At 39.9% G+C, this 12735-nt stretch overlaps 1 protein-coding gene across 36 annotated transcripts in view; it reads left to right on the plus strand.

Moving 5' to 3' along the window:
- Positions 1–12735, plus strand: part of ARID1B (AT-rich interaction domain 1B) — a 434754-nt gene that overhangs the window by 111745 nt on the left and 310274 nt on the right. The window lies entirely within an intron of this gene.

Raw genomic sequence — 12735 nt, forward strand, 5'->3', positions numbered from 1 at the left:
AGAAGAAACAATTTCAAAGGCTGTATTTAAAACCTACACACGAATGAGTAATTTATATGCATTTATCATGCAAGTATACGATCCCCAGGGTGGAAAGTGGCCTGCAGTGAATGGTCTCGCTCCTCCTGTTCCCCTACAAGGCTCCCCTTCCAAATTGGAAGATACCAGTTGCTTGTCTTTTTGTTGACTCTTTTAAAATTCTAGTCCTCTTCTGGTAAATCCTATTTTCTGTACCCTGTCCCCACCCCATAGTTATCTCAAAGAGAACAGTCTTTTCAATCAAGCATTCACTGCACATGTCCCAGTCATGCGGTTACAAAGTTGACATTGCAGCCTCAGCAAAGGTTATCTCTTTAAAATTTTCTGAAATTCCCCTTTGGCACATTCATTTTGGCAGCTGGGTTTATATAGGAAAGTGGTAAAGCTCTTGGCTCCTCTTTTTGTGCTTTATAAAAATAGAAATCTCTGGCCAGAAGGGCAGATAAGCAAGAAGCTCCTCTGTAATTCCCATCACTTCTGCTTCCCGAGTGTTTTCTGTTTTACACTGTAGTAAATGGTGTCCTCACCATGTGCTTGTGGACCAAGTGGGTGGTTTTTAGAAACACGAACATACTGTAGCCTGACACTTATTTTAAAGTCTTATTAGAAAACCCTGCTGTTCTAACATGTGTGTGAAGTACTGTTAGACTGTGTTGACTTTTGATTTTGTAATCCTTTTGCATTAAAAACAATGGAAAATCTCAAAGATGACATTCACGAATTCAAAATTACCAGTTACAGTCTGGGCAATAATATAACAAGAAAGAGGGAAAATCCAAATTGCTTTGTAGTGAGATGTACTCATTACTAAATAAATGATACCACGAGTGTGCTTTTCCTGGGACAGCATTTTTGGGATGGAAACAACCAAATCCCCGTGAGGCAAGGCAGCTCAGGCCTTTTTATTTTCTAGGAAAGTGTTGCTTCTGTGAGCAGAATTGACCCGTTCGTTACTATAGATTACCTCCTGAGCCCTTCATTTCTTTCCACGTATCCTATGACCTTCACAGGAATAGAGTTTTACGAAGTCATGTTGATGCATTTCCATAGTTATGAGTCTCGCATTTAAAAATGACTGTATATTTGGTATGGAAAATACTTATTTTTTAATTTTGTTTTAAATGCAAATATTGATACCCTAGGTGTCAAAGCTTCCACATTAAAAGTGAGTGTGGCTCTTTTTACTGTTAAAAATTTTTTCCTGTTTTATATTATTATATCAATAAGGCACACAAACTTATAGGTGAGTTTTTCACTGCTGTGACAGTTTAGGAAAGACCACATTTTAAAATGCCAGCTCTGTTTTCTTCAAGAATAGGCAGTATGAATTATTTAACTCTTAGGCAACCCTCCTACCATACCAAGTTTATATACACTGGAAATATGCTATTTTTTAAGCTATTTTAGAATAAGATTTGTCATCCCTTGTATTAAACAAATGCTCTTCTCTCAGAAGCTGCGGATTTTTTCCTGTTGTTCTTCTATTTTGTCAAAAAACACACTGTAGACTTTATAGATCTGTGGTATCGAATACTCTCGATTGGATCCTCAGGAAGAAAGTGTTTTAAAGTGTGTAATTAGGGCACTTGAGCATAAAACTACAATTATACACTTGCGTGTTAATTTTGTGTACAGTAAGACTTTAGTTCAACACTGGTTGTAAATGAGAGGAAGCATTTGACTGCCAGTGAATGCCTGCATTTTATGAATACTTGAATAAAATCTCCTCTAATTGGCTGACCTGGAAAGAAAGGTGAAAACATCTGTAGTTCAGTGGGAGAGGAGAATACAAAATGTGTACTAGAGATTTCCTTTTCCAGGTACCTCGAAAAGTGATCTCACTCTTGTGTACAGCCGTGTTTGCTGTGCCTTCGGGATCGTTTGTGCTATTCTAGCTGCTGTTTCACAATAAAGGCGAACAGGGTGAAAGCAGTTTAGATAGGCAAAGGAAAAGAATCAAGGGACAGACTGGCATGGACAGTAGTTGGCAAGGAATTTTTGATATGGTTAAAAAAAAGGCTTTGGGCTGATATAATTGACTTGCGTTGGTTGACTATACATTTGTTAATCAAATTCTGTGTACAAGAGTTAGGCAACACTCCTTGAAGCCTGAAGGAGTTAATTTTATGAAAACTAAAGGATGTACCAGTTTGCAAAGTGGATAATAATGTGGGAGAGCTTGTTACCCTAAAGAGATAGCCTGGACTGGAAATATAAATTAATTTAAGAAGTGTATAAATAAATTCATGGATAATAGATTCATAATGGTTATTAAGAGGAAATAAAGGCTGTTCAGGACATATCCCTGACTTCTGGAAATTGAGGTCATGAGAGGCACTACCATTTAGTTCCCACAGCTATATAGAATATTCACTCCGCAGAACATTGGTCTGACCTACTATTCACTTCAGCTGTGATTTGCTAAATATAGAGTAGTTGAACTTAGAATAAGCAGTGAAATTTTGTAGGCAATTAATAATTGTAAAGAAATCCAAGAGGGATTGTATGTGTATGTCTTTATAATCTTATATCGTGTGTACCCTTCTAAGTTTTATAAAAAATTTGTCACGAAAAAGACTTGTTACTGATAAAAAATGAGAACTTTTCAATGTTTCCCAAATCAAAAAAGGTAAATCTATTTTATCCTATGATTTTTTTTAAATTTCTAAGCTAATGGGGAGGGTTAAATTATCCCAGATGTGTTGGTTTCAGAAAGCCTGTTAAAAACTGGCAATGTTTATGGCCCAGAAGTTACCTGTTAGGAAGGAACCAGGGCCCAGGCCAGAACATACTGGACTTCAGAGCAATGTGAGAGCCATGGACCCAGCTTGTGGGTGTGGGTGGTCAGCTAGCCCATTCTGCAGTGTGGGACACTGCCTGACCCTTTTGTATACTTTGCCAACTTCTTTCTCATCCCGGGTCATCTTTTTCCTGTTAGTCAAGAGAAGCCAGATAGAATTGGAGGGAACTTAGCTTTAGTATACAGTGCATACAGTAAGTGCTCAATATACATTTGTTGACTATTTCTCATTTTTCAAGGGTGAAAGGTGAATTTCAGGAAATTGTGGAGTTTTTGTTGTTGTTGTTGTTGTTTGTTTTTTCCTTAGACAAACCTAAGAACAAGATTTATTTTTCTTCTTAAAATAAGAAAGAGGGGAGGAAAAGGCACCTAAGCTGTTTAGGAGTCTCATTTGGGAACTTAGCTTAAGGGACTGTGGAATGTTGAGCAGTTGTAAGATCTTGACCTTGTAAACTTTATTTATTACCTTCTAGCACATTATTTTTGACTGGACATGTTGACATAATAAAATTTCCTTGTGCAATTGGTTCAACCACGCATCAGCTTAGCATCTGAATTTCTTGCTGTGGGGAATTTTCAGTCTGTCTCTTATGCATGAAAAATGGTGTTTGATCTTCCTGTGAAATCAGGAGCCAGCAGGATTTGCCACATGTGAATGGAGCTGTTGTGGACTTAAGATTTTTCTTCTGCTTTTTGCTTTCCCATTTTGTAGAATTTACCTGGAGGGGTTCAAATCTGTGATGAAAAACAAACACATAAAAATTAAGGAGCTTTCTTCTGTTTAAGATAAATTGTTATACTTTTTGATAACTCTTAGACAGCAGCAGTAAATAATCCTAAATAAATTTCATTTTGTTCTAGATTCATGAAAAACAGAGTTGGTTTAAGGAGTGATTTTGGTATATATTCTTTGAGGCTGTTAATTCTTTATACCTATACCACAAACAGATTCTCACATTCAAAAATAACATTATACTACATATGGTTTTGTAGCCTGCTATCTTTAAACCTCAACTCAGTAATATATGGACAGAACTTTTTGTTATTAAATATAGTGTAAAATGAGGATTGTTATTTTTAATGGCTCTATAGTATTTTATTGAATCCTCACCTCTGCTCTTTTTTTTCCCCCCCTCAAACCAGTTCCCTGTTGATGGACATTTAAACATTTAGGCTGTTTCCCTATTTTTGAGTGGAGCAGCAATGAACTCCTTGCTACACATATCTTTGCATACTTGTTTCATACCTTTTCTTTTTCTTTTCTGTTTTTTTTTTTTTTTGAGACGGAGTCTCACACTTTCCCCCGGGCTGGAGTACAATGGCGCAATTTCGGCTCACTGCAGTCTCTGCCTCTCCGGTTCAAGCGATTCTCCTGCCTCACTCTCCTGAGTAGCTGGGACTACAGGTGTGCATCACCACACCCAGCGAATTTTCTTTTTTTTTTTTTTTTCTTTTTTTTTTTGTATTTTTAGTAGTGACGGGGTTTCACCATGTTGGCCAGGATGGTCTCTATCTCTTGACCTCGTGATCCAGCCACCTCGGCCTCCCAAAGTGACAGGCGTGAGCCACCACACCCGGCCTCATACTTTTTCTTAAGATAAATTCCTAAAGTAGAATTTTGGGTTAAAAGAACGTTGTTTCTATACATATTATGACTTGCCTTACATATTTTACTTTGTAAATTCACCATGATTATTTCAGTTTGCCCTGTTGCTCTGTAATATTTTGGATTATGTAAAATGAAAACATAAAAACTCACTGATAAGCATCTAGGATCAGTCATTAATTATAAAACAAAATTTACATCTAGGTCTAAAGGCAAGAAAGATTTAAGCATAAATGTGTTAAAATGTGTGTTATAGAATGATAAAAATGGAGACGAACAGTTTAGACTTCTGTATTAAGTGTATATACATATGCCACCAATATTTTAAAGCTATTATTTATATCCATTAAAATGCCTAAATCTTAAGCATGCAATTCAGTGAGTTTTGACAATTACATACGTCTAGGATACCACTATCCTAATTAGACTATTTCCGTCACTCCTAGAAAATTCCTTCATGTCTCTTTCCAGCCAGGCCCCATATCCCACAATCATTGTTATGATTTCTGTCACAATAAGTTGATTTTGCCTGATTTTGAATTTCATGCAAACAGACCATATGGTGTGTTGAGAATGTATACATTTAATTAGTTCTTTTCAAAAAATAGTTCTTGATGGATGTGTAAATACCAAACTGTACTTCTTAAAACAGAAAGATCCAAAGCTGATGTGAAAATTGTATAGAATAAAAACAATAAGTCTTTCAAAAGAATAAAATTGGACCCTTTGCCTTAGACTATATATAACAATTAGCTCATAATCTATCATAGACCTAAGTGTGTAAGAGCTTAAACAAAGCTATAAAACTCTTTTTTTTTCTTTTTTCTTCCTTTTTTTTTTTTTTTGAGATGGAGTCTTGCCCTGTCACCCAGGCTGGAGTGCAGTGGTGCAATCTTGGCTCACTGCAGCCTCCGCCTCCTGGGTTCATGTGATTCTCCTGCCTTAGCCTCCTGAGCAGCTGGGATCACAGGCACTCATCACCACATCTGGCTGATTTTTGTATTTTCACCACATTGGCCAGGCTGGTCTCGAACTCCTGACCTCAAATGATCCACTCGCCTCGGCCGTCCGAAGTGCTGGGATTACAGGTGTGAGCCACTGTACCTGGCTATAAAACTCTTAAAAGAAAACAGAGGAAAAGTTTGGCACTGCATTTGGTAATTATTCCTTGGATATGACACCAAAAGCATAGGCAACAAAAGAAAGGACAGACAAATTGGAGTACGTCAAAGTTTTAAAAACTTTTGAGCATCAAAGGAGACTATCGAGAGAGTGAAAAGGTATAACCCACAGAATAGGAGAAAATATTTGCAAATCATATATCTGATAGGGGATTAATATCTATATAAAACACTCCTATCAACAGCAAAACAAATAACCTAATTAAAAAAAATGGCAAAGGACTTGAATAAACATTTTTCCAAAGAAGATATATACATGGCCAATAAGCACATGAAAAGGTACTCAACAGCACTGATCATTAGAGAAATGCAAATTTCACAATGAGTATGTTATCACTTCACACCCAGTATTAGTACAGCTGATATTTAATATTAAGAAAAACCCAGAAAATACCAAGTGTTGTCAAGGATATGGAGAAATTGGAAGCTTGCGTCCTGTTGGTGGGAATGTGAAATGGTGCAGCCACTGTGAGAAGCAGTATGATAGTTCTCAAAAAATTAAACATAGAATTACCATATACTCCAGCAGTCCCACTTCTCGGAATGTACCCCAAGACGTAAAAGCAACAATTCGACCAGATATTTGTAAACCCCTATTCAGAGCAGCATTTTTCACAATACTCAAAAGTTGGAAACAGTCGAGTGTTTATCCATGGGTGAGTGGATAAACAGTTATGCTGTATACATTCCGTGGCCTTAAAACGGAATGAAACATGATACACACCACAACATGGATGAACCTTGAATACGTTATGCTAACTCAGACACAAAATAAGCCAGACACAAAGGAACAAATATTGTGTGATTCTGCCTATGTGAGATAGCAAGACTAACCAAATTCATAGAGTCAGAAAGTGTAATGGTGCTTGCCGGGGGTTGGGATGGGGGCCGGGGGGTTGGGATGGGGGCCGGGGGTTGGGATGGGGAACAGAATGTGGGGTTGTTATTTCCAGGGCACAGAGTTTCCATTTGGGATGATGAAATCCTATAAAAGGATGGTGGTGATGGTTGGCCAACAGTGTGAATGTACTTATGCATCATTGAACTGTATACTTCAAATGGTTAAAATGGTCAATTTTGTGTATATTTTAGCACAATTAAAAAAGGTCTTTAGACATGGAAGATAAGGAGAAAGGTGCTCATTCTTTTACACAGCAAAATAGTAGCATGTTAGAATTCAGTAGTGGGGAGTTTTCACCACACTTGAATACGTCTCTGATAAGTTTAGGACAATGCCAAGTATTTCTTTTGTTCATAGATTCTTTTCCTCCAAAAGGAGGAACAAACTGATAATGTAAGTAGATTGAGCTATTCAGAGACACCAGGTCTGTGATAGAAACTGGGGCGTGTTTTAGTATCATAACTTCAAAGCTCACATCAAGGAGGTTCTAATATCTGTTCCAGTGTTTTTCTATGCTTTCCTAGAGATAGAACTGGACTGGACTATAGTTTAGCTCAAGGCAAGCAGCTCTTAACGTTTCCATTGACTGTGGTGTGTGATTTCTATATGTATTTCAGGAGGTTCAGTCAACAGACATTCACCGAGCTCTTAGTACTGGACAGGCATGTGGAATACAGTGATGAACTGAACTAGCAAGGGCCTGTCCTGTGCAGTGGACTGTCCAGTGGTGTGGTGGTGTTCATGGTCAAATGAGTTTGAGAAATCTTGGATGTAAAGGTGGACAAGTTTCCAAACTTTTTAAAGGATTTCACATATCCTTTAATGTGATGATATGGTATGTTTTCTTTTTATAGTATATTTGTTTTTTAAACTTTTTTAAATTATAGAACTCATTTCTGTGTGATATTCTATAGAATTAGTGTCCCTTGTAGGACCCATAGGGAAATTAGTGACCCTTAGGGAAATGCTGGCATAAAGTTCTGTCTGTTAGAGGTTCACCAACCTACAGGACACTTGTTTCCCTTGGGAGGAGATCATAATGAAGGCTTCCTCCTAGTTCTGTCCTGAATGCCCTGATGGCTTGTGAGGAGAGGGACAGTCGCTCAGACACCAGAACTCAGAAGAGCTATGGCCTGGAGTGTCCTAGGTGAAAGGCCTGGGAAGTGATTGGAGCACCTGGTCTTGTAGTCAGGGACTTGGCCTTTGAGCTGAGTCTCTTTTCTCGGAAGGACACCTCCTGGGGTGTCCCCTCCTGCCTTGTGTGGGTGCTTGAGTTTCCCAGGGCCACCTCTTTTTGGGAGGATGTGGACTGGGGTGGAGGCAAAATCTTTATGGTAAAAGTGGAAAATTGTGAAATAATTTAGACATATAGAAAAGTACAGAAGCAAATATAACAGACACACTTGTGTAATTACAGATACAGTATATACAGGTGTATACACACACACACACACACACCCACATACACACAGTATATATAGGTATAAAAATAACATGTTACCCTATTTGCTTCACATCTTTCTTTTTATAAAGGAGCAAAGCATGGCTGAAGCCACGCCCCATAATCCCCAATTCTTTTCAATGCACGTTTCTATACTTTTGCTACATGTGTGTTTATAAACAGTATACACTAATATCTTACGTATTCAAATTTTATACAAATGATATGATACTGCATTAACTTTTTGTTGCTTTCTTTTTAAACTCAACATTGTAGTTTTTAGTTTTGTACCATTTTGATATGTGGCGTCTTACTCCTTTTTTACTACTGTGTAGATTTAATTGTGTGCCTATAGCAAAGTTAACTTTTCCCATTTACCTTCTGTCTTAGAGTTAGATTTTGTCCTCTTCTGTCAATTGTAGTAGACAGGACTGCATTGAATATCCTTCCTGGAACATGTGTGTTTCATGGTTATATACTTAACAAGGCGCATGGCCGGGTCATGGGGTCAGTGTACCTTTAAACCTAGTAAGAAACTGCTCTCTAAACTTCTTTAGGCCAGGCTCAGTAGCTCATGCCTCTAATCCCACCAGTTTGGGAGCCCAAGGCAGGTGGATCACCTGAGGTCAGGAGTTCGAGACCAGCCTGACCAATATGATGAAACCCATCTCTACTAAAAATATATAAATTAGCTGGTCGTGGTGGCCCGCTCCTGTAATCCCAGCTACTCAGGAGGCTGAGACAGGAGAATCACCTGAACCCAGGAGGCAGAGGTTACAGTGAGCCGAGACCACACCACTGCACTCCAGCCTGGGCAACAAGAGCAAAACTGCGTCTCAAAAAAAAAAAAAAAAAAAAAAAAGAGGACACAGTGGCTCACGCCTGTAATCTCAGCACTCTGGGAGGCCAAGGCAGGTGGATCACGAGGTCAAGAGATCGATACCATCCTGGCCTACATGGTGAAACCCCGTCTCTACTGAAAATACAAAAATTAGCCTGGCGTGGTGGCATGCACCTATAATCCCAGCTACTCGGGAGGCTGAAGCAGGAGAATCACTTGAACCTGGGAGGCGGAGGTTGCAGTGAGCTGAGATCGTGCCACTGCACTCCAGCCTGACGACAGAGCGAGACTCCACCTCAAACAAAACAAAAACAAACTTCTTTAGAAGGAAAAAGGGGGAGAGGGTAACCTTTGATCATTTCACTCATTTTGGAGGATGAGCAAAAAGTTCAGGGTATGGTGAAATGAAAAATGAGTCCTGACCCTGCATATTTAACGTGATACAGAAATGTGAAAGGTAGTACTTGCGTTCTTTATTGGGATAATTTTCTAAAATAAATATGTAAGTGAATCATTTTTAGCTATAAATTTTTTGTTGTTGTGTGTGTTCATGTCTTAAAGGTCTTCTTTATTTAGAAATGAGTGAAGCAAATTCTTCTTTTGCTGCTGCTACTGCTGCTGCTGCTGCTGCTGCTGCTGCTTCTTCTTCTTCTTCTTCTTCTTCTTCTTCTTCTTCTTCTTCTTCTTATTATTATTATTATTATTATTATTTGAGACAGAGTCTTGCCCTGTCGCCCAGGCTGGAGTGCACTGGAGCGATCTCAGCTCACTGTAACCTCCACCTCCCAGGTTCAAGCGATTTTCCTGCCTCAGCCTCCCTAGTAGCTGGGATTGCAGGTGTGTGCCACCACGCCTGGCTAATTTTTGTATTTTTAGTAGAGACGGGGTTTTGTCATGTTGCCCAGGCTGGTTTGGAACTCCTGACCTCAGTTGATCTGCCTACCTTGGCCTCCCAAAGTGCTGGGATTATAAGCTTTAGCCACTGCACCCAGCCAGATTCTTATTTTTAAATAACAAATGGAAATGTTCTGATCTGAGGCATTTTTTTTTGAGATCTCCATTTAGTTCAGTTTTGCAGGTTTTAAAAAATATATATATATATAGTTAGAACTGTGTTCGAGGCAAAGCATGCACTGGACAGTCAGGACTTCCATGGGCCAGCAGTTTTTGGCCAAGGACACCGTGCTGCTGTTAGTGTACCATTCAGTGGCTGTAGATGAAGCTGAACACGTGTGTCAGATTTGGGTAGTTCAAGAGATTTCCATATTATAATGTGTTCCTTGATTCGTTAAAATTTTTCATATAATAATAGCTTGCTTAATAATCATTCAACAGTACTTATCATTCAACAGATGTTTGTTGACGCTCAGATCCTTTTCCAGGAGCTTATATTCTAGTGATGAGGACAGATAGTAAACACGTGAACACGTAGTTAAGTGTTTCACTACATAACTAAATCAGTCTCCCCTGTGATAAGATCAGGTTGGTCAAGGCACGAGAGTGACCATGGTTAGGGTTAGACTGGGGAGGGAGGGCCGCCCGAGCTACCAGTGCTCTATGTCTCCAGCTCCCAGCAACTGCTGACTAGCGCTCAGTAACTGTTGGTTGCATGTCACTTGCATGCAACCGTCTGGTTATATGAGTTATCCTGCATATGGTTAAGAATGAAACGACTTAAAAACTCTCAGCAATCAGAATAGGGTTTGCAAAGCTTGGGACAGTGAAGCTCAGGTGCTTTCCTCACGCATCGGTCCTTTGGGCCCTCCTTGTGTGGGCAGTGTGTGTGGGTGTCTTGGTCCTCAGCATATTAGAAGCCTAACTGGGTTCAGGTGGGGGTTGAGCTTGAGCGGTGAGCAGTGCCAGAATGCCCTGATGGCCTGTGAGGAGAGGGACAGCCGCCCAGATGCCAGAACTCAAAAGGAGCTGTGGTCTGCAGCATCCAGCAGAAGGCTCTGGGGCCTTCCATGTCCTTTGGGGCAGGCTGTTGATTTGTGTTTCATAATACTATTCAGTTTCAGAAGTCTGAACAGCATATAGTAGATCTTTCAAAGCCTTGCATCTGAATGCATTGACAAAAAAACAATAATGATCATTAAAGAATTAGATTTTAAGCAGGGTGCGGTGACTCACATCTGTAATCCCAGCACTTTGGGAGGCTGAGGTGGGCGGATCACCTGAGGTCGGGAGTTTGAGACCAGCCTGACCAACATGGAGAAACCCTGTCTCTACTAAAAACACAAAATTAGCCGGGTGTGGTGGCTCATGACTGTAATCCCAGCTACTTGGGAGGCTGAGGCAGGAGAATCGTTTGAACCCAGGAGGTGGAGGTTGTGGCGAGCCAAGATCGCGCCATTGCACTCCAGCTTGGGCAACAAGAGCAAAATTCTGTCTCAAACAAGCAAACAAAGAGTTAGACTTTAGCTTCAGTCAGCTGGGATATTCTATCGAGGAATTGGTTTTTAAAGGTAACATTTAGGAAATAATTAATATTTTACAGAGAGCACTACAACTTCTAGTTTAATAAGTCATAATGGCACCTGTATAGACTTGCAGGTGGGACTGGGCAGGGCATCTATATGACTTAGGAAGGCAGTCCTGTTTGACAGTTGGAGATGTAAGGCAGAGTCATGTGACTGACCGTATTCACACAACTCACGTGCAAAGGGAATTGGACTTAGAGTCCATGTATTTCAAACCCAAAGATTCTTTGGGTAAACTAGAGTTGAGCAATCCGTCCCATCATGGCTCCCATTGAAGGACAGCTGACCGGGTCCAGTTGGTTGGCACTGGGCCCCAGGTCTCAGGGAGAGCCCCTCTGTGCTGTTACAGGTTTCCTCAGCCCAGGCTTACAGAAGGTGGGGTGCCAGCAAAGTTGGTCCTAAATGGATGAATGAGCCGTGTGTCTAAAAGGATAGCAAATTGGTTTTAATCGTGAAGGAGCATATTTGAGGGCACCCAGGTCTCGGTTTGCTCAGTCGTGTAGGTGGTTGCTCCAGTGAAGATTTCTTAGCTGCGCCCACCTATCCTCCTCGCCCCACACCCTGCAGCCAAACTTCCTGGAGCTGGACTAGGTAGTAAAAAATTCTAGTCAGCTTGTGGCTGCTCTAGTGTTAGTAGGTTCTTGCAATCTGTCCTGTTGTTGTGTTGCTTAGAAAACAGCGCCCCCTCCCCAAACAACACTTCCATATTGTGTGTGAGGGCTTCTGTAACCAGAAAGTCAACATATTAAAGCGCAATTCATAGGGGAGTTGCTGGCTGTGTTGACTGAGCTTTACAGTCATTTTAACACTGGCAGAAGTGTTATCCTAACTGCTTTAAATCAAACTGCAAAGATGCTTGTGTGAAATATAGTATTAGATATCAAATCAAACATATGGGTGTTGAACGGAAGGATGTGTGTTGTAGTGGTATATGGTATTCTAGCATGTGGAGTTGTATTTTATGGAAATTCGTTGGCTTGGCTTATGGCAGGGACATAACATTCATTATGAGATATCAAGCTGTAAAATAAATAAAAGCAAAAAATTCAACTGTGCTGTTAAATGGCTTGCAATGCAGACTTTTCTGCTCCAACAACTTAGGCTCTGTGTGATGAGAGGCATTGTGAGCCGTTATGGTCACATTTAATCTCATCCTCTTTGGTAGATCTTGAAAATAATCTGGATTGGATTGAAAGAAATATAGGAACTTTAACTTTTTCATTTTTTCCCCTTTTACCCCATTGTATATGTTAGGAATTACTGTGCTGATTTTTCTTAGAGGCTAAATGTTTTACTCTTTTCATCTTTTACCATTTCATCTTTTTCCTCATTCAGTATTTCTATAGTGGATTTGGGTTTTAAGTGTGTATCTGGCACTCATTAATTTCTTAAGTGTGTGTGCTTATGGGGCTCAAGTTCTTGAAGTTCTCCAGTGGACCATATTGT

The sequence above is a fragment of the Homo sapiens genome, chromosome 6 (genome assembly GCF_000001405.40).
Source record: "Homo sapiens chromosome 6, GRCh38.p14 Primary Assembly".
NCBI lineage: Eukaryota > Metazoa > Chordata > Mammalia > Primates > Hominidae > Homo > Homo sapiens.